The sequence below is a fragment of the Homo sapiens genome, chromosome 18 (genome assembly GCF_000001405.40).
Source record: "Homo sapiens chromosome 18, GRCh38.p14 Primary Assembly".
Taxonomy (NCBI): domain Eukaryota; kingdom Metazoa; phylum Chordata; class Mammalia; order Primates; family Hominidae; genus Homo; species Homo sapiens.
The window spans coordinates 47,076,103-47,099,187 of record NC_000018.10 but is presented as its reverse complement, the minus strand read 5'-3'; the positions used below and the strand labels follow the sequence as shown (position 1 = coordinate 47,099,187).

Below are 23,085 nucleotides of genomic sequence, written 5' to 3'. Positions count from 1 at the left end.
ACAACTGTACTTTAAGAACAATTTAGCATTGCAGGAAGCAATTCTGCATTTTAACTGTCACTCTACATCTATGCCTTGAGTGGATGGGACAATTAATATTATTTGGAGAAAGAATTGGTGAGAAAGAGAACTGAGGGAGGGAAGGAAGGGAAGAGAGGAAAGCAGAAAGGAAGGAGAAGAAAGAGAAGGAAGGAAGGATGAATGGAAGAAAAGGAAAAGAGCACATTCTCAGAACTAATGAAAAGGAAGTAATTTTATGCGACTTAATTTGGGGTACAAAAACCAACTAACAACCAGCAATCATGAGTATTCTGATTGCAGTTGTAACATGAATTATTCAGTCCGATCTTGCCAGTGAGTAAATTATTGCTGACAATAAGTTGGGCACTCTAAGTACATTAATTCTTCCAAAATTCTCAGTCCTTCTGGAGTGAATGACCCCTCACTTCATTACATTGGTGAACTTAGCACCAGTGGCCCTTCCTGGGTGCCCAGTGCAAATAACCGCCCTTTCAGACACTCACTTTTACTCCTCCCAAAACTGTCAGGCCAAGTTTATGTGATTTTGCATCCATAGGCCATTTCCTTAAACTTCTTGATATGGTTTGGCTCTGTGTCCCCACCCAAATCTCATCTTGAATTGTAATCGCATAATTCCCACGTGTTGTGGGAGGGACCCAGTAGGAGATAATTTGAATCGTGAGCAGTTTCCACCACGCATGCTGTTCTCATGGTAGTGAATAAGTCTCACAAGGTCTGATGGTTTTATCAGGGGTTTCCGCTTCTTGCGTCTTCCTCATTTTCTCTTGCTGCCACCATATAAGAAGTGTCTTTTGCCCCCCGCCATGATTCTGAGGCTCCCCATCCATGTGAAACTGTAAGTCCAGTTAATTTTTTTTTCTTCCCAGTCTTGGATATGTCTTCACCAGCAGCATGAAAATGGACTAGTACACTTTTTTTTTTTTTGAGACGGAGTCTTGCTCTGTCGCCAGGCTGGAGTGCAATGGCTTTCAAGCTAATATAAAAGTAGAATAAAACAATTGAACATCTATATACATACCATCTTGATTCAACATCAGTATTCTTCTATATCTGCTTCATATCTCTCTATCTACCTATTCTTGCTAAATTATTTCAAAGTAATTTATATCATGACACCTCATCCCTAAATATTTTAGCATGCATTTCCAAAGAAGGGCATTTGCTTACATAGCCACAATATCATTATGACACCTGGCAAAACTGATTCTGTGATGTGTCTAATGCTCAGTCCATATTCAGATTTCTCCAGTCAGGGTGGAGGGTGGGAGGAGGAGAGGATCAGGAAAAACAACTAATGGGTACTAGGCTTAATACCTGGGTGATGAAATAATCTGTACAGCAAACCCCCATGACACAAGTTCACCTATACAACAAACCTGCACATGTACCCCTGAGCTTAAATAAAAGTTAAAAAATAAAATACTCCAACCATCCCCAAAATACCTTCCATCATTTTCTGACAAAATCCAGTGAACACATATGCATCATGTATGGTTCTGTCTCTTAAACCTCTTTTTAATCTAGGCCAGCCTGCTTGCCCTAGACCCTTTTTGAAGAAACAGGGCCAGCTGGAGAATGTCCCACATTCTGAATTTGTCTGATGATTTCCTTGTGATACATGAAACTGGTTCCTCTATTCCCTGTCTCTAAGAGGGAAGTTCTAAAAGCTTAATGAGATTTAGGGTAAATATTTTTTGGCAAGCGTATTGCATAGATGATGATGTGTTTTCATATTCATCAGGATCCACACATCTGTGTATCTCACTGTCGGTGTGGTGTTTGATTTTCTGGTGGCCATGGAACTCTCCGTTGTAAAGAAAAACATCTTCTCTCAGCAAGTAGTAAGTATTCTGTGTACAATACTTTGACACCATAGGAATACCCAATTCCTTATGCCCTTTCAACTAATGGTTTTAGCATCTATTAATGATCTTTGTCTGAATCAATTATTTCACTAGAGGTTGCAAATGCTGATTAAACACACACATACACACACAGAGTTGGATTTTTTTTTTTTTTTTTTTTTTGAGCCAGGGTCTTCCTCTGTTGCCCAGGCTGGAGTGCAGTGGTGCCGTCACAGCTCACTGCAACCTACACCTCCTGGACTCAAGCGATCCTTCTGCCTCAGCCCCCCAGTAGCTGGGACTACAGGTGCGAGCCCGGCTAATATTTTTTGGATGCAGTTTCACCATGTTAACCATGCTGGTCTTGAACTACTGAGCTCAAGCAGTCCACCCGCCTCAGCCTCCCAAAGTGCTAGGATTACAGGTGTGAACCACCACGCCTGGCCTGGATTTTTCATTCCAAATACATTATTTGGAGTTATTATGAAATTACATAGCACTATTATGTAAAGCAGAGCTTTCCCTCATCAGCTGAGGCTATTTGGTTACTCTAAATTACCATTCCTATTATCAATAGATCATCTTGAGTGTGAGTCTGTGAACTGTTTATTTGATTTTCTAGGATAGAAATTAGGAAATTCCTGTATGTTAGCCTAACCATTGATAAAGAGTAACAATGAGCTGAGTGCGGTGGCTCACGCCTGTAATCCCAGCCCTTGGGGAAGCTGAGGTAGAAGATTCGCTGACTATGCTGGGCAACATAGTGAGACCCCGTCTCTGCACAATATAAAAATTAGCCGGGTGTGGTGATGCACGCCTGTAGTCTCAGCTACTTGAGAGGCTGAGGTAGGAGAGTCACCTGAGCCCAGGAAGCCGAGGTTGTAGTGAGCCGAGATCATACTATTGCACTCCAGCCTGAGTGACAGAAATAAATTTTTTAAAAAATAAAATTTTAAATATTTTTTAAAAAAGAGTAACAATGAAAACGTCATCACCAGGTATTTCTCACTCATAAAAACACTGAGAATATCTAAACTGTCTTCCCATTTTTTCTTATTCTCATTCTGAATCTATGTTACAATATTTCTTTTTAAACTGAAAACATACTTCCAGGGAACATATCTGAATCCTAAATCACAGCAACCAGATTTCTTTAAGGAGTGTGTCTTTTCCTCTCCTATTGTTTGTCTAACCCTGAGCTGAGAATCCATAGTCCAGGGGTGCCTTACCGACAGTAACAATGACCTATTTCTTTTTTGCATTTGCTTTGTTCTTTTATCAGTCTCACCCTGTTGACATTCATCGCACATCAGAGACTCAGCCACCTCTTCCCTTGCACAATCATTCCCCCTCTCAAGGCACATTTATATTCAAGGCACAGGGTCAAGGAAAAGAAGAAAAAAACACGCTTCACAGCAGAACTTTGCCTAGCACTCCAATTGAGGATGTGCTCATCTTTGCTTCAGATGGTTTCTTCCTTGTTCATACTCAGCAATAATATACAGCCAGCAGGCAGCAAGAATGATGCTGTTCCCCTTGACTGGTCAGCACCCACACCACACCAGTTGTTCAATATTTTGAATATCACTCCTGCATATAAGCCACAAAAATATGTTATCCTTCATACCCAAGGATGTTCCAACAGAAGGCTGTCTGTGTTACTAAGGTTGAAATAAAAACACTGTATTAGTCCATTCTCACACTGCTATGAAGAAATACTTGAGACTGGGTAATTTATAAAGGAAAGGGGTTTAATTGACTCACAGTTCCACATGGCCTCAAGAAACTGACAATCATGATGGAAAGCAAAAGAGAGAGGCAGGCATCTTCTTTACAGGGTGGCAGGACAGAGTGAGCACTTATAAAACCATCAAGGTGCAGTGAGATCTCATGAGAACAGCATGGGGGAAACCACCCCTATGATTCAGTTATCTCCACCTGGTCCCGTCCTTGACAGGTGGGGATTATGAGGATTATAATTGAAGATGAAATTTTGGGTGGGGACCAGCCAAACCATATTACACTTCATTGTTGATGAACTTTAAATTAACTAAGACTGCACTTAAATTTGGGGATAAACACAATCACCTCTGCTTCCTCCTACTAAACACCACTGAAAGAGTTTTTGAATGGCATAAACCCACAAAAGCAAAGAGAATTGGAGAACTGATTGAAGCAAAGATTTGAAAGCTGGGAAGCATAATAATGAGTAAAAGAAACTTAGTAGAACTGAGAAGCTGCTTTCTAAATCAGCAGTAAAGAAAGTCAAGAAATAATCTGAGTCACAGAATCCCCAAGAGACTTGGCAGTATCTTCTTCTACCTTTAGAGGTGAGGGTGAGGCTGGGTTGAAAATAGGGGGTTTGATTGCCAATTTGCATAAAAAAAAGTTAGATCACAGATTTCCACCCCCTCCAGTAGCAGGGGAACTGCCTCTCCCATACCTTGGTAGAGGGTAAAATGGAGGGTCTCCAGGCTGGGAAACACCAGGCTCAGTTGAAAATAGTGTACTGTACTGAAGCAATGAGATACCGACTATCCCTAGACTATTAGCAGCCAAACTCTTGCCCTCCAGGCAGGAGATTGCAAGAATCGTCACTTGGCAATCTGACCAGCCAAAGAGAAAGACCCTAAGGACATTGATATTGGGAGTTCCCCAACACAGTAACCCAGTCAAATCTCAATACATGGAGCCCACAGTTGGCAAGCCTTTGCCACATGCACAGAGCTTCCTGTGGGTTTTGTTAATGTACCCCTCTCATAAACATTAGGCAGCCAAGAAGACCTACATCTGTGGAACTCCTCTAACTTGAAGACAGAGCCCAACACAAATTAATGGTGGAAAATAAAAAGAATCTTGGAGAAAACAGAATTCTTCAGGGAAATGAAACTTCAAAAATTAGTATTCTCAGAGAGATGTAAGAAAATATTGCCATGAAACAAGAAGAGTGTCTTAGTCCATTTTGAACTGCTATTAACAAAATACCTGAGACTGGGTAATTTATCAAGAACAGAAATTTCATAATTGTCATTTTGGAGGGTGGGAGACCAAGATCAAGGCACCAGCAGGTTTGGTGTCTGGTGAGAGGCTGGCCTCTGCTTCCAAGATGGCACATCCTCAAGAGGGGGAAACAATGTGTCTTCACATGATGGCAAGTGGAAGGCAAACAAGAGAGACCAAACTGCCTCCATCATGCCTTTTTATAATGGCATTAATCTGTTCATGACAGTGGAGCCCTGGTGACCTAAACACTTCCCATAGGGCTCTACCATCCGACACTGTTGCATTGGGGATTAAGTTTCTAACACATGAATTTTGAGGAACACATTCAGACTACAGCAAAGAGGATGCCATTTAAAAAGAATAGAGAAAAACAACAAAATGCAGTAACGAGAATACAAAATATGATAGAAGAAATTAAAAACACAATGGAAAATTTAGAAGATAAAGCTGGAGAAATCTCTCACAGAGTAGGACAAGAAAGACACACAAGGCCAGGCATGGTGGCCTATGCCTGTAATTCAGTGCATTAGGAGGCCAAGGTAGGAGGATCACTTGAGCCCAGGAGTTCGAATCCAGCCTGGGCAACACAGTGAGACCCCATCTCTACAAAAAAATTAGCCAGGCATATGCCTGTAGTCCCAGCTAGTTGGGACATGGGAGGATCGCTTGAACCCAAGAGGTTGAGGCTGCAGGGAGCTGTGGTCATGCCACTGCACTCCAGCCTGGGTGACAGAGCCAGGCCCTGTCTCAATTAAAGAAAAAAAAAGACACACAAACATGCACATAAATACACACACACACACACAAATTCGAAATGAGAAAGAAATGGTTTTTTAAATGAGAACATTATTACAGGAGAGCCAACAGACAATAGGAGATCAAAAAAAAAAAAAAAAAGGACAGAGAAAACAGAAGGGAGGATATCAAAGAAATCATTCAAGAAAACTTTCCAGAATTCTAGGAAATAATTTTCTGTATGTGAAATATTAATAAAAGCAAATGCTTAACTAGTACTTAACTAAGTGGCAGGCAATGTCTCAAGCATTTTACAGACATTAATTCATTTAATTCTCACAACAACCCTGTGAGGCAGGCATGAAGATTTAACTCAGCGAGTCCCTAAACCTATGCCTCAGTTAACTGCTAGTGGACTCCCAAGTCACATCGTGGTGAAATTTCAAAACCTGGAGAACAAAGAAAGGATCATAAAAGCTTCCAGAGAGAAAAAACAGGTTATGTACAATGGATCAATAAGACTTCTCAACAGCAATGTAAGACATTAAAAGAAAATAGAACACTGCCTTCAGAATTCAGATGAGAAATAATTTCTAGCATAGAAATCTATCTCTTGATGAAGACATCAATTAAGTTGGGGGATAGAATAAAGACATTTTCAACATGTGAGGCCTAAAAAAAAATTACCTCCCATGTACTCTTTATCAGGAAAGCATTGGAGGATTCTCTCCAAAGGAGGAGAGTAAACCACACCAAAGGACTATAAGGGATTCAAGAAACAGAGGCTGTGACGCATAGAGTGAAGGACCCTCCAGGAGGACGATGGGGAACCCCAGGGTTTCCTCTATAGACTAGGTGCAGGACAAGCAGGTGAGCCTGGAGCTGGTAAGAAGGCTCTTACCAGCCTTCTCTCCAAGGAGATGAAACTCATAGAATGCCTGGAATGTCTCAATGTATCAAGAGTCCATCTAGACAGTTAACAGTTGTGACTGAATTATAGGAGAAAAAGGTGAAGTGATGGGGGAGAAAAGAAAAAAAGGAGAGAAGGGATTTTTTTTTTTGAGACGGAGTCTCACTCACTCTGTCACCCAGCCTAGAGTGCAGTGGTGCGATCTTGGCTCACTGCAACCTCTACCTCCCAGGTTCAAGCAATTCTCCCACCTTGGCCTCCTGAGTAGCTGGGATTACAGGCGTGTGCCACCATGCTGGGCTATTTTTTGTATTTTTGGTAGAAACGGGATTTCGCCATGTTGGCCAGGCTGGTCTCAAACTCCTGACCTCAAGTGATCTGCTTGCCTCAGCCTCCCAAAGTGCTGGGATTACAGGCGTGATCCACTGCACTCGGCCGGGAGATCTTTTAACAGGGAAGCTAAATCATTACATTTATATTTTAGGAATTCAGTGCCGTTCAGCAGTATTTACTGCCTGCCATGTGTATAGTCATTGCTATGCCTCCAATATACAGAAACAAGATGCCCTCTTCCTTATATGTAATTAAAGGCAGTAATATGGAGGGTTGGGCCTTGGCATGTGGGATCATTGATCCTGTAAATTTCAAAGAAAAAATAAGCTGATATCAGACTGAAAACCCCAAGGGAAGAGAAAATAAGCCCCTAGAAATGGCAGAGCACAGGGTAATGAGCAGTTGCTATATTTTCTTCCAAGGCCTTTACTTTGGATCAGCTACTTGCTTCTAAAAGACAGGCTGCTAAAGAAGAAAGATTCTTTCACAGGGACTCCTTCTTCCTGCTGTCCCTGTCCCATCCAGAGTGACTTCCTGTCTAAAGGAAGTCCAGAACCCTCCAGAATGCCCTAGGAAAATGGAGTCTTGTAGATGATGTGGAAAACAATCCCTCACTACAGATGTCTGTATTGATTAGCTAATGCCCTAAAGCAAGAGATTTACCTCAAAACTGCTTGTGGGCACAAAATAAGTGCAACTCTCTGACAGCCAGGCCTGATGAATGCACTTTTCATGACATCAATAATCATATACAAGGGAGGAAACGAAGGACAAGTGGAATGTACCCAGGAATCATTCTTTATGCCAATATATTTATATAAAAAAATTTAACCTGTGGCAACCAGAAAGCACTCCCCTTAGTCCCTGCACTTTGAGTTTTGAACCTAGTTACTCTGTTTTAATGTCTCCTTTCTTTTGTTTTTCTGGTACTTCTGTCACCTCAAAGGGCAAAACTACCAGCAAGTGTGAGCTGCTGGTGTACAGCAAGTGTGAAATGCAGCAAAGACTCACAGACCTCAGAGTTTGGTCCACTGGACCCAGGCCCACTGCTGGATAAAAGGTGCAGCACCCACTGGCCACTTCCACGGTTTACATCTTGCTTCAAGGCCTTGTGCCCGATCAGCTGAGCCCCTGTGCCAACCCTCAGGTACCTTCCTAAGTCCCTCGTCCTGTCTCCACTGTTAAACCAGGGTTCCTGGGACAGAGATCATTCCAAATTTTACAGAATGTGGAAGCAACATAATTCTAGTTTATTCCTTCACTAGTTAAAATGTATTAAGTTGAAATTATCAGCATAAGAGAAACCAACCTTCAGTTTTAAAAGTGAAGTCTTTGCAGTATGTCTATGTAACACCATGAAGTGAGTGGTCAGGACAACTCTGGAAATTAATATTTATTAACATTCTGTGGTTGATAATAGGGAGCCAATGATTAAGCATTGAAGGGTACTTTGTCTTCCACAGTGAGCCCAGCATCAGCTGTCCCCCACCTACAATTCCCACTTGGGCCAAACTGGTCTGCTTGCCATTCTCAGAATCCACTTTTTGCCATCCTAGTTCTGAGTTTCTACTCAGGCCATTTTCCTTATGTGGAACTTTCACTTTGTCTATCAAAAGTCGAGTCATGTTTATAGACCCAGATCAAGTGCTCTCTACCTCATAAAGGCTTTTAAAACTATATGTCATCAGAAATTGCCTCTTTCCCTTGTATATTTTTATTCTTATTATTGTCTGTACCAATCACACGGTGCTGGCTGCATCTCCGCCTCATAGTCATTTATTTTCTAACCCACTGATTGTTCAATCAGATTGCCAGTTTCCAGAGGCCAAAGATTATGGACCATATGATGTGGATTCCCCCTCCCTCCATCATGCAGAATAAATACCCAACAGGTGCTCAAGAAATACTATTTCGGGCTGGGCGCGGTGGCTCCTGCCTGTAATCCCAGCACTTTGGGAGGCTGAGGTGGGCAGATCACCTGAGGTCAGGAGTTTGAGACCAGCCTAGCTAACATGGTGAAACCCTGTCTCTACTAATAATACAAAAATGAGCTGGGCATGGTGGTGGGCAACTGTAATCCCAGCTACTCAGGAGGCTGAGGCAGGAGAATTGCTTGAACTTGGGAGGCGAAGGTTGCAGTGAGCCAAGATCATGCCACTGTACTGTAGCCTGGGGGACAGAGTGAGACTCTGTCTCAAAAAAAAAAAGAAGAAATACTAGTTCAGCTGGGCATGGTGGCTTACGCCTGTAATCCCAGCACTTGCCAGCACTTTGGGAGGCCGAGGCAGGTGGATCACTTGAGTCCAGGAGTTTGAGACTAGCCTTGGCAACATGGTGAAACCCCAGCTCTACCAAAAATACAAAAATTAGCCAGTCTTATAACCTAATCTCAAAATAGATTTTTTTTTTAAAAGAAATACTACTTGAACACATGACTGACCTTTAGGTGCAGGGCTACTTACTTCATGTTAAATGGCCTGCTTCCTTAACATCCAGGAATTATTTATGAAGGTGAATCTGCTTTGTTGAAAATTTTAGCATTTTATAATCATCATTAGTTCTAATCAATAGAGAAAAGCCGCATCAACTTGGGCAATGGAAATAAGATGTTATATTTTAATCTTTAGTGAAAATAATGGAAACAATGAGTTTAGGGGATGATTCATTGAACCCATGTGGCTGGGCAGTACTTTTGAAAATCAGCTGACAGATGTGGCCTCCACAGAGACCCCACTTCTCATTCTGAGCAGTGAGTTCAGAAGCATGAGGCCTGAGGATACTGTAGGAGAGTCTGCAGCTATCAGTTCAGTTTATGTCCTACTGATGTTTGGGTTGAGAGCATCATTTCTTTATAATGAAGAATGAAAATAACTTCTAATTGCTACAGTATCAACAAAGAAGATATATTCCTCAATTACTCTTGCCAGAAAATATATTACCAAAATTGAGAGGAAAAAAATGGGAAGGCTGGCTCTGTTTCCAGCAAAAAGATAAACTAGCTTCTCTTGTTATACAGTCCCTTAAAAAGCTCAATTAATTATAGGAAATACCTTTCGAATGCACAATTGAGCCCTCAAGGAGACAGGGCCAGAATTCTCAAGGGCCAAAAATAAAGAGGAAGCTGAAAATGAAAGCTGGGCAGTTGAAGCTATGGCTGATTAGGGGTGTTTGTCTCTTGGTTACAAAAGGTTTGAGTTTTAAAGGCAACATGTAGAATGGCATAGAAGGTCCTGGACCCATTCAAGATGGGAGGTGGCGTCAAGGCCCACCACATAAAGACTCAGTATTGCTGAAGGGTGCATGCCTACTATGAAAGGGTTGATTAGGAAATCTCCCCACTAGCAATGGAAGGCACCAGGGAAATTTGTCTGCCTTGCACTTTGGGGTGGGAGAAAGTGTTCACTGATAAGTTAGGACCACAGATCTCCTCTTATTGGCATGGTCCAAAAAATTCTGAACAGGGAAATTAGCTAAAAGTGATTTAAAGACTGACACAGTAAAACAAATATTCTCTGGAGGGACCCATGCAAGAATCCCACAGATAGAGACAACTTCATTAATGTAAGCTAACAATCTAAAATTACAAAACACTAGCCGGGTGTGGTGGCACACGTCTGTGGTCCCTGAGGTGGGAGGATCGCTTGAACCTGGGAGGCGGAGGTTGCAGTGGGCTGAGATTGCATCGCTGCACTCCAGCCTGGGTAACAGAGTGAGACCCCCCTCTCAAAAATGAATGAATAAATTTATTAATTAATATAAAATTACAAAACACATAATAAACCATTATAAATGAGACCTGGCAGAAAAAAACTAACAACAGAAATAGACTCCCCTGATAGAGAGTGTAAAATAAATTATGTTTATGAACAAAAATATGAACAAGACTTTTCCTTTGGCCAAGATGGAGTAGCCCATTCTTCTCTAGTTCACCCTCTTACAACTAAAAATCCCTGGATATAATACAAGAAATAAACATGGAGAGACATTGAATGGTGGAAAGATGAGGACTGGCTAGCTAGGGACCTTGGGACTTGAGGAATGGTGTGGCAGTGAGTTCCCTGGGTTTTCTCTTTACTTCCCATCTATCCCAATAGAATGCAGGAGAAGCCTGCAATTCAGAACTGCTAACATGCACAGATTCAAACACCCCATGACAAGCCTGCTCTCGCTAGCCAAAGGACTGAGGAGAGGCGGTCTACCAGAATAAAAAACCTTTTAATAATACCTGCCCTATTCCAGCTAAACACTGAACGAAGAACTGCCCCCCGACCTTAGAGTGTCCGTGGAGCCCAGCAGGGCACTGAGTCATGGTAGTGGGAAAAGGTGTTCAACAGGCTGGCACCAGATTAAAAACGCTCAAGAAAAAGAAAAGTCAAATAAATTATGGTACACACATACAATGGAGTTTTATGTGGGATTAGGCAGATTTTCAAAGTTGTCCACAATAGATTAAATGAAGGAAAAAAAACAGGCCATAGAACAAATATCACTTGTATCTACAGGACAACGCATTTTTGTTGCTCTGTGTATGTGCTCTACACACACACACACACACACACACACACACAGATGTAAAAGAGTTTGGAGAGACTTACATCATTTTCCATGGTATAGTTACAGGGGACTATTCACTTTTTTAAACTTTTATTTTAGGTTCAGGGGTAAACTTTTGTCATGGGGGTTTGTTGTACAGATTATTTCATCAGTCAGGCACAAAGCCCAGTACCCAATAGTTATTTTTCTCTGCTCCTCTCCCTCCTCCCACCCTCCACCCTCAAGCAGGCCTCAGGGTCTGTTGTTCCCCTCCTTATGTCCATGAGTTCATTGTTTAGCTCTCACTTATAAGTGAGAACATGAGGTATTTGGTTTTCTGTTCCTGTGTTAGTTTGCTATGGATGATGGCCTTCAGCTTCATCCATGTTCCCACAAAAGACATCATCTCGTTCTTTTTATGGCTGCATGGTATTCCATGGTATATATGTACCACATTTTCTTTATCCAGTCTATCACTGATGGGCGTTTAGGTTGATTCCATGTCTTTGCTATTGTGAAGACTACTCACTTTCAAATAATAATAAAGCATATAAATTATGATTTTTATAATAAACAACTATTACTTTAAAATAACCAAAAGAGTAAAAACTGTTTTTCTCTTGGGAACAAAAAACATTACCAGAGAAGGATATGGAAGCAAAAGATGATAAATAACTAAACCATTTTCACCAGAAAGGTAGATACAAAGATGGTAATACTTGAGTCACAGTGGTGAAATCAGAAGTATTTTTTCTAATTCTCCTATTTTCTATAAAATGGTTATAATAATTTTATAATGTTTTAAATGTGGTTTGAAATGTATGATTCGCATGTCAACCTACACCCTGTGAAGAAGAAAAGGTAATGCCAGAATAACCAGGTTGAAAGTTGTTTTTGTCTGATGAGATCAAACAGTAAGGTGTGAACGAAGCAAGAGCAAGGTTACTGCTTAGTAACCTCCTGCTAGTCATCATGTGCCTTCCCCACTGGACCTACCAAATCCTGCACAGTATACTTCTTTCCTCGTCATATGGGTTTTACCCGTAAAACACACATGGAAGATCATGGGCTTGATATTATTGTGTGGGATAGTGAAGTGTTGTATGTAAGTAATTCCAAGCAAAATGGTTTGACCACTAGTAGGCACAAAAATACTATTAAAGATGAATAACAGGCTGGGCACAGTGGCTCACGCCTGTAATCCCAACAGTTTGGGAGGCCGAGGCAGGTGGATCATGAGGTGAGGAGTTCAAGACCAGCCTGGCCAAGATGGTGAAACCCCACCTCTACTAAAAATACAAAAAATTAGCTGGGCATGGTGGTGGGTGTCTGTAATCCCAGCTACTTGGGAGGTTGAGGAAGAGAATTGCTTGAACCCGGGAGGCAGAGGTTGTGGTGAGCCGAGATCGTGCCACTGCACTCCAGCACTCCAGCCTGGGGAACAGAGCGAGACTCTGTCTCCAAATAAAAAAAAAGCCTACAGGCAGGACTGAAGGCAATTGCAATGAAAAATGCATTCATCAGATCAGGGTGAGGTAATACAAACTAATGTCTTCCAAAAGGTTTTCAAATGGAACACTAGACTTGTGAGATACTCCTTGAGGAAAGGAGTGGGGTCAGATAAGTGTGGAAAGTACTGCTTTATCTTATTTTTCATAGAGAGTCACAAAGCACAATAGCATTTTTTTTTAAGAGACAGGGTGTTGCAGCTCTGTTGCCCAGGCTGGGGTGCAGTGGTGTGATCATAGCTCACTTTAGCCTCAAACTCCTGGGCTCAAGCAATTCTCCTGCCTCAGCCTCTTGAGTGGCTGGGACTATAGGCACACACCACCACGCCTGGCTGATTTTTTAACAATTTTTTTGTAGAGACGAGGTCTTGCTATGTTGTCCATGCTGGCCTCAAGCAGTCCTCCTGCCTCAGTCTTACAAAACACTGGGATTACAAGCATAAGCCACCATTCCCAGCCTGCAAATAGTATCTTTTATTTATTTATTTATTTATTTGCAATAAAAAAAGAGTTGAATAAACACAAGCCTGGCCACGCCACATGGGAAATGGAGTCATTACTCAAATCAATCTCCCCCAAATTTCGGAGGCTAGGCTTTTTCAAGGATAGTTTGGTGGGCAATTGAATGGGAGTATGGAAAGTAGTCCTCTTCTGGGGGCGGCCATGGGACTAGTTGGTGGGTTCACGTGGAGTCGTGGGTCATCAGAAATGCAAAAACTTTAAAAGACATCTCTAAAGGCCAATCTTACTTAGATTCTACAATAGTGATGTTATCTCCAGGAGTAACTGGGGAAGTTAACGACTTCAGGCTCCTCTCATCCTTCTAACCTGGTGGTCTTGCATTAGCTTTAGGAAGGCCACATAGTTTTCAAAAAGGGTTATTATCATTTAAACTATAAACGAAATGTCTCCCAAAGTTAGCTTGGCTTGAGCCCAGGAATGATTAAAGGCAAGATGGAGGTTGGTTAGATCAGATCTCTTTCACTGCCATAATCTTCTAACTGTTATATAATTTTTGCAAAAGTGGTTCCAGCAATAAAACTACCATTTCACAAATTTTGCAAAAATGAAGACCATGAGGACATTGCTGGGGACTCTCCATGAGCCAAGGAAGGGTCCCAGGAAATCAAGGGGCTGTAAAGCTTAATCGCCATTAATTCCAAATTAGTATCACTTCTGGTAACAGCACAGGAAGAAACACAAAGCAAGAATGCAGCATAGGGAGCTGGGGCCGGGGCTGCAATTATGAATAGGATGCTGAGTGGGTGGCATCAGAGCAGACCCCTGAAGGTGACCTACAGAGCCCTGCAGATATCTGAAGGGGAGGGAGACGGTGGTGGGGGTGCCACTGCATTCCAGATTCTAGACTCAGGTAAGTGTGAGTACAAGAGTCCAGAGGCAGGCTTTTTTTTTTTTTTTTTTTTTTTTTTTTAGACAGAGTCTTGCTCTGTCATCCAGGCTGGAGTGCAGTGGTGCAATCTCAACTCACTGCAACCTCCACCTCCCAGGTTCAAGTCATTTTCCTGCCTCAGCCTCCTGAGTAGCTGGGACTACAAGCACGTGCCACAACGCCTGGGTAATTTTTGTATTTTTAGTAGAGATAGAGTTTCATCATGTGGGCCAGGCAGGTCTTGAACACCTGACCTCAAGTGATCTGCCTACCTCCGCCTCCCAAAGTGCTGGGATTACAGGCATGAGCCACTGCACCTGGCCCACAGTCGTATTTTAAAGACATTGAGCAACCCTGCTGGGGGAAACCAGTTGAACTGTCTTTAACTTGGTATCTCCTGAACATACCAGGCCACTAGATCTCATTTTTTGCACAATGCTTGCTGACCTGTGGCAGACTGCTTTTGGAAAAATGTTGATCTAGTGAAGGCACAATCAAGACCTTGATTGCAGGCAGGGAGGACAGCTTCTTCCTGGAGCCCAAAAATGCATGTGGTTACTATGGAAAGAACAAGGGTTACATCTGCTTATCCCTCCAATCACATGCATGCATTGCTATAGCAATGTTACACCAGCAGGAGAGGGTTCATGTAGGAAGAAGTAGGTTAACATAGATAACAGAAAGACATCCCTGTTAGCAGTTGCCCCGGCGGGTTTCAAATTTGGCTGAAAAAAGAAGTTGAAGTCACCAGGCGATGACACAAGTGAGCCACTGCTGACTGACAGCTCTTTTCCTTGCTGATTTCCCCTGCAAGTGAATCAGAACCATTTTATTCCATCTCTTGGATCTTAAGTTTTCTTCTAAATGTTAGGGATTTTTAAATCCAGAGCTTGGTATACCAGGTGTCTGATTTTTAAGAGAGTTGCTGGGATTTCTAGCCCTTTTACAAACAGCAAGGAAAACATGAATTTCAGCATGCTTCATATATTTAGTCTTCACACCTTATTTGTACAAACTCCCAGAGAGTTAAATAGGTATTTAAAGATGACATTTGCCTTAATGGGCCTGTTCAGTATTTTGTTTCCTGACCCTTAGGCTTGAGTTTGTGAATACTCAACAATCAAGGCACATCAAATTCTAACTGTGTTTACTAAATTTCTTACATGGCTATTATTTTAAGCAGTAATATTGAAGGTGCAGCATTTGTTATTCCTCTTCTTGCTTGTTTATACATCAATTGACACACAAGAGCTGTTCTTTCTTCTGGTCCTCTCTGTGATGCTATAGACTAGGGAAGGTGCTCTTTGGAGGAGAAGGGCTGAATAAACAAAGGCTGCACACCTGTCACTGCTGGGAAGGGAGAAAATGATTGCCCCTTTGAGACGGAATCTATGTGTCTAGAGAAAATGGTGGTAAGTCAACCAGCAGTAAAGAATAGCCTAGTGCCCCGGACGATGCAATAGATGAGAACTGCCACTAACTGTAAGGAATTTCTTTTGGGATTTTAAGACTGGGTCTTTAGATCACTTGGTATGATTTAGTTATTTCCCCTAGAAGGACAGACTGCTTGAATCAGATAAGTCTACTCCCTCATCTAAGACCCTGAAGTCAAGAGAAAGATCTGTTCCCACATTCTTGCTAAAAAATACACTATTTTCTCATAGAAGGACATCAGCAATGTGTCACAAGGGACTTAAGAAACATCTAAACCCTCTGCTACAGTAAACTGACTTCCGGAAATCTGTCCTAAGGAAACAACCAGAACTTTAGTCAAAGATTTTTATGCAAGGAAATTCATTTCAGTGTTATTTCTAACAGAGAAAGTTTGGGATCATCATATATGTTCAACAGGGAAGGAATTATTAACTAAATGATGGTATATTTATGTGTGAGAATTTTGGGCAGCCATTACAAAATCCAATTTTCAAGGATGATTTAATGACATTGGAAATGTTCTTGCTGTCATGTTAAGTAATGAAAGCAGGACACTAGTGGGAATACAAAGTGGTACAACCTCTGCGGGGGGAAACTTGGCAGGCTCTACCATACTTTCATGCACATTAGCCCTTTGACCCAGCAAAATCTACTTCAAGGAACCTACCCCAAAGATACACTAGCAAATACACAAAGTGTGGTCTCCACACTGCTGCTCACGGCAGCATTCTTTTTAATTTGGGTTAATAGGATTAACCCAAATGCCTATCATTAGGTGGCTGGTGGGATAAATTATTATACACACAAAATGGAGCCCTGCGCAGCTATAAAGGGAGCAAGGAAGAACTTTATATACTTATTTGAAAAGATTGGCAGGGTATTTTGTTAAGATAAAATCAAGATACAGAAAAAATTATGTAATAAACTATGTGTAAGAAAACCAAGTTCAGTTATTTTATTTTATTTTTTTAATAAACATTGTGAGTTTAGCTGTGGAATATGTGTCAGCTTATCTCTATGTGATGTTTATCAAATCCTTAGATTAGTCCAGTGGTCCTCAACTGGGGGTGATTTTGCCTCCAAGGAAACATATGGCAATGTCTAAAGACATATTTTGGTTGTCACAACTGCTGGGGAGGAGGTGCTACTGGCATCTAGTGGATAGTGGGCCAGAGATGCTGCTAAACATCATCAATGCACAGGACAGTCCCACCACAAAGAATTATCTGGCCTGAAAATGTCAGTAGCTCTGAGGTTGAGAAATCCCACATTAGCTCTTTCATCTTAGTTAGGCCAGGTCAGTACCATTTTCCACATCAGAATGTCACTGTCAAGATAGTATTGGTGTTATTACTGAGAAGCTCTGTGATATACACACATATGCAGTATTTGTACATATTGGGATAAAGTGAGTATTAATTACATTAATGCTAAGAACTGAGATTTTCACTATTAGAGAAAAGATACCAATATAAAATCAAATATATTAATCCTAAATCTGAATGGGAAATACTAGCATGGACTCATTATTTGCCTCTTTTTAAAGATACGTATTTCCTAGCTCTGTCTAATCAAAAGGCCTAATTGTGAGACTGTAATCTCTGAATATTAACATCATTTCCCACTAAAGGCACAAGGGCTTCATGAATAAGTGGCTGATTCTAGGAGCAAAATGTACAAAATGGAGCTGAGTCATCCTGCACATATAAGAAGGAAACTTGGCCTTGACCACACCTAACAGTAGGGGAAGACTAAGAAACAGAACCCCCAACTTGAAGTTCTATTCTTAAATTCCGAGGGTGAAATAAATGTTGGGAGGCAACTGTCCATTTCTGCCACAGCAGCATGAGGGAAGACAAATGAGTCTCTGGATCTGTACTCTCTCATATGGTAGCACCAGCCACATGTGGCTTTTGGGTATTGAAACCCAGTTATTCCAAACTGAGGTGTGATGTAAGTGTAAAATATATGCTGGATTTTTCCAATTTAGTATGAAAAAAGAAACTACAATATCACACTAATTTTTATACTGATATTAAAATAATGTTTTGAAAATACTGTGTTAAATAAAACATGTTATTAACATTAATTTCACCAATTTATTTTTACTTTTTAAAAATGTGGCTAATAGAAAACCTGAAAGTATGCATGTGCCTCACAATATATTTCTATTATATTTCTATTAGACAGTGCCGCTGTTGAATAACCAGGTACAGGGTCTTCTGAAAGGTCCAAGACTTGGGAAATGAGACACACATGGGAAGTTTAGCAAGGTAGAGAAAAAAAAGGAATAAAAAAGTTCAGAAAGGAAGGAAGAGAGAAAGAAAGTGATGGATAGAGAGGAAGAGGGAGGGATAAAGTGATGGAGGGAAGGAGGGAAGAAGGCGGGAAAGAAAGAAGAGGGAAGGAAGGAAAGAGGGAAGGGAAGGAAAGGGAGGAGGGAAGGAGGGAAGGAAGGAGGGAGGGAGGAAGGAAGGAAGGGCTACAGAATGGGAGAAATTATTTACAAATCATATATCCAATAGAGGGCTTGTATCTGGAATATATTTTAAAAGTCTTATAACTCAATAATAAAAAGAAAAATTTTAAAGTGGACAAAGGATTTGAAAAGACATTTCTCCCAAGAAGATACGCAATTGGCCCATAAGGACATGAAAAGATGCACAATATCGTTTGTCTCAGAGAAATGCAAATCAAAACCATTTCTTACCCACTCGGATGGCTACAATAAAAGAGACATATAATAACAAGCGTTAGCGAGGTTGTGGAGAAATCGGAACCCTCATCCTTTGCTTGTGAAGTGTGAATTTGCTTCATGTGAAATGGTGCAACATCTTTGTAAAACAGTTGGGCTGTTCCTCAACTAATCAAACGTAGAGTGGCCGTATGACCCAATAATTCTACTCATAGGTATAAGAACAGGCAAATCTACAAGAATGTAAAATAGATCAGTGATTGCCTAATGCTGATGTAGGCATAGGGGAAATGGGATGGTTGCTAATGAGTACAGGGTTTCTTTTTGGGGTAAAGAAAAATGTTCTAAAATTGATTGTGGTGGTAGTTGCACAACCCTAAATACACTCAAAACCATTGAATCGTATACTCTAAATGGGTGAATTGGGTGGTATGTGAGTTATATCTCAATAAAATTTTAGGGGGAAAAAATGAAACTAATGGGGTTGTACCAAACAAGTCATGAGCTTGTAGTGAAAGAGAAAGAAGCTGATGGCTGACTCATTGGTTGCCACTGAAGGTCACTGTGGCATCAACTCACAACTAAAAATCAAAGAGAAAAAAATCCTGCTTTTCTAGTATGAACTATATTTCAGGGTTACCAAATAACCTTACTGGAAGAGGGAAAGTTCTGTTATCAAGAATAATTCCAGCTGTTGATCAGAGGAAATGATAGACTTGTACCCCTGGTGAAATAACTGATTCAGGCAGAGGTCATCAATGGATGCTCACACCATTGATGGGAGCTGTACAGGCAAGGAACCAGGGTGACACACCTGAACCCGGTGATCAATCTTAGCATCACCAAAAATGGAGCAACAAGACATCACATACCTCTAGATATAATGCAACGTGATGTGCACAGCATCGCCTATGAAGTGTGTTTGCCAAAAAATTCTATTGATCCTGAATATAATCTATCTAACCTTTAGTCTAATTACAGGAGTAAGAACAACCCTACTACCATGAGGACACAATGAGCCTAATCCAGAAAGTGTGGACATCCTGCAAGACAATCCCTCTGGCAGGCAATAAGTCAATGACAAGTGGAGGAAAAGAAAAAAAAAAGAGGCTGAGGCAGGCGGATCACTTGAGGTCAGGAGTTCAAGACTAGTCTGGCCAGCATGGTGAAACCCCATCTCTATTAAAAATACAAAAAAATTAGCCGGGCGTGGTGGCAGGCGCCTGTAGTCCCAGCTACCTGGGAGGCTGAGGCAGTAGAGTGGCTTGAACCCGGGAGGCAGAGGTTGCAGTGAGCCGAGATCGTGCCATTGCACTCCAGCCTGGATGACAGAGCAAGGATCCATCTCAAAAAAAAAAAGAAAAAAAAGAGGCCGTCTGTTCTAGATTAAGAGACTTAAGGGAATGACCAATTACAAAGTGCAAACCTTGTTTGGATACCAGTTCAGTAAGTCAATGGTAAAGAGAGTTTTGAAACAAATTGGGAAATCTGAATATAAACAGGAATCACTGTTAATTATGTTAGGGTGATAATGACTTTGTAGTAATGTAAAAAAAGTCCTTATTTTTCTTCAACATGTACATTTGAGAAATAACATAATAGTTGAATATGATTTAAGATATTGCAGCAAAGAAGTGGCAGGGGGTGGTGCTGGAATAGATGAAATAAATTGAGCAAGATGGTGTTAGTTATTAAAACGGGGAGATGGTGGGTTCATTCTGCTTTTTTCCTTTCCTTAGTGTTTTTGGGAATTTTTCATAATAAAACAGGATATATGAGTTAGAACATATTGGTTCTAAGGCACGTTGTAATGATGCAATCAATGATATAAGGAACATAAGCTCAAAAGCACATATGTATTTGCCAGCTGACACATTGAGAAGCAAATTTTTGGAAAAGCCCTTATAAGCTTATTCAATTTTTATGCGTTTTTTGCTTTGTTTTTGGTTTTTTGACCTCTGTGAACCATTTTATTTGGGCTTAGGAAAATCGAAACAGCACAATAAGTTTCTCAACAAATTCTTAGGTATTCACTGGGGGTAGAAGGTCCTCTATTCTTCCAGAAAATATGTAGGTCTCCCCAGGGCACAGACCTTCCCACATTCATGCCTGAAGACTTACAGTTTTTCTGCCTCCCTAGCTGACTCTAATATTCACCCCCAGTGGTTATGATCAACCTTGTTTTAAACCTTTGAAGGAAAGAAGATTCCTTCCCTAAAAGTTTCCACAATCACATTTCAATGACGGTTCTCTGTTTGGACTCCACTTTGATATTATTATATATAGATCCTATATCTTCAAATTGTAAAATGCTGATCACCTGAGCAAGTAGAGAAAGTATTCTAGATTCAAGGGGAGGTGGAGCCAGGTTTAAATTATGAGTATATTTAAAATAACAGATTACAAATGAACATTATGGTTTTTTTCAATGACTTCTGGTTTGGGGGGGGTCCCAGATAATTAGCATGCACTACAGAAGAGTTTCTCTTTTCATCTTTGAATGTAGAGCAAGAGATGGGTGTGAGGGGCATGAGGTCACAAGTCCCAGCTAGGCTACAAGAGTTGTTGATGTTGGTGGATTGACCTCTCTTGACCTTGGTCCCCTCTGAGAATGGGAAGAACAGCATTCCCTTTATCTGTCTCCTGCTTTGCCTGAAGCTTGAAAGAAATAATGTATGTGAAAACATTCTCAGAACTATAAAGGGCTTATACTTATTTTTAAAATATATTCTCCAAGTAGATATTGTTTTTCCCTAATCAACATCTCTTATTTCCCAATTCCACATCTAGAATTGTTCTTAAACCACTCTGGGACACTGTTTAAATAAGACTCTGAGAGTAGATTACATTTTCCATTAGAGATTATTTACCTTTCTATTTACTGTGCAGCATTAAAGAGAAGATTTTCCTCCTAACTTAAAAAAGTTTAATTTTAATACTATAAAATTCAAACATATTATTTCTGGAATATTATTTGAGTCCTGGAGATTTTAAGCATTTTGTAGTTCTATGCCAAAGTCCTACTTAATTTAAACAAACTATGTAATTTGGCTTTAATCTTGAAATGTCCATTTTAAATATTGTTAATGGTCACCCTGGCCTGTGTTTCCTCTGTTAAGGCAGATCTTTCGTGGTACAGACAGCAAGGATTGGGGACCTGAACAGTAAAGCCTCCACATTAATCTTCCAGGGCTGCAGCCAAACAACACAGCTTTGCCTGAAGTGGTCAATATAAAATTTTTATTTGCACTTAGTGACTCCTGAAAATGTATTCAAAATTTACTCTCTTGGTCTCTTACCACGGCAGGTTAGAAGCTGCTAAGACAAATACGAGATCTTCTGAGCGTGCCAGCCCATCCATCTGCACCAGTAACTCTGTCTTCATCCGCAGGCTTCCTTCATGTTCTCCCCTACAGAGAGACAAGACGTGATTCTCCTAAGTGTCAGAGCCTTCGCCCTCATGACAAGAGCAGCATTCACAGCAATGTCCCTGTGACTGTAGAACAGTTTCTGTTCTGATGGCCAATGGAGCCGTTCATACTAGAGTTAGAGAAAATGAGCAATTTGCTGTTATTTTCACATACAGTATGATAGAAAGCAAGTAAATGAATATAATGATGGTATTTGAAAGAAAACCAAAGGCAGGCAGTGAGCTGGAGAAAATAACTAAAGGGTCCACAGTCCCACTGGTAGATTAAATGCAGCCCAACTGTGTCTACCTGCAGCATTATTTACCTCTTTAAAAATGACATAATTGAGGATAATCCCTTTCACTTACATAGCACACAGGAAAGTACTTTCACACCCTCAGCCTCCTGAGTAGCTGGGACCTCAGGCACAAGCCCCCTGCCTGGCTAGGTATATGTTTTTTTAGGATCTATGCCCCTTAATACTCAACTACCTTTGCCTAAGAGAGAAGACCGTCTCTCTCTATATATATATGTGTATATATATATATATATAATTTATTTATTATATATTATAAGCATAATATATAATTAGCATTTGCCCATATATTTGCTATATGTTTAATTATCATTTGCCCATAACTATAATTCCTTTAACATAATATTATCGAAGTCTTCAGAGCACCCATCCCTATTTCCTGACCCTTTGAAGACTCTTAATTTTGGAGTCTTTGATCCCAGACAGGGAAATGGAAATTCGGGGCAGAACCTGGAGCACACACAAGGATAGCAGATGAAGAGTCTTCACATTAGCTCGATGAAGGTTGTGGGAAACTGGGGACAGAGCTCGACAAAGCACACGTAACAACAAGTGCATAGGGAGACCTGGTCTTTGTAGAGTGACTATGAGGGTGGGCTGGTGCATTCCCATCTAGGTGCCTGTGCAGTTGCCTGCTTCTATCAGGCCTGGTATAGAAAGCAGAGTGCTCCAGCCTAGGGCTGACAAGCACCAGCTCCAGTTAAGCTGAGGAAAATGTCCTGTTTCAATCAATTACATGAATCCCATATATTACTTGGGTACATCTTTATGGTTGCTTTTCCCTGCTGGGAAAATGGTTTCCAATGAGTAAAATTTCATAAATTATATTATAGTTATACTTCCAACAAGCTAATTAATTGTGTTTTATTACTATTACTTCTGCCTTGATGATAGTCCATTAAAGGTCATTAATAAATGCAGCTGTGTTGAGA

At 40.8% G+C, this 23,085-nt stretch overlaps 1 protein-coding gene and 1 long non-coding RNA gene across 27 annotated transcripts in view; one reads left to right on the top strand and one right to left on the bottom strand.

The window, feature by feature from the left end:
- KATNAL2 (katanin catalytic subunit A1 like 2) overlaps positions 1-23,085 on the bottom strand; it is a 184,650-nt gene that overhangs the window by 3,056 nt on the left and 158,509 nt on the right. For 9 of the 25 annotated variants that reach the window (NM_001353904.1, NM_001353899.1, NM_001353900.1 and 6 more), the window contains one exon: positions 21,727-21,837. In NM_001353904.1, coding sequence (NP_001340833.1) covers positions 21,727-21,837 — 111 coding nt within the window. Of the gene's footprint in view, positions 1-238; positions 1,016-11,494; positions 14,857-20,792; positions 21,086-21,726; positions 21,838-23,085 lie in introns of those variants that run through there. The other 16 variants (NM_001353901.1, NM_001353905.1, XM_011526220.3 and 13 more) reach the window with 7 other exon arrangements.
- On the top strand, positions 953-23,085 carry LOC105372098 (uncharacterized). 2 transcript variants are annotated; one of them, XR_935432.3, is made up of 4 exons: positions 953-1,883; positions 7,814-8,014; positions 19,398-19,560; positions 21,735-23,085. It is a non-coding gene; the product is annotated as an uncharacterized LOC105372098 (long non-coding RNA). The 2 variants fall into 2 exon arrangements; XR_002958192.2 differs by lacking the exon at positions 953-1,883 and adding an exon at positions 1,890-6,494.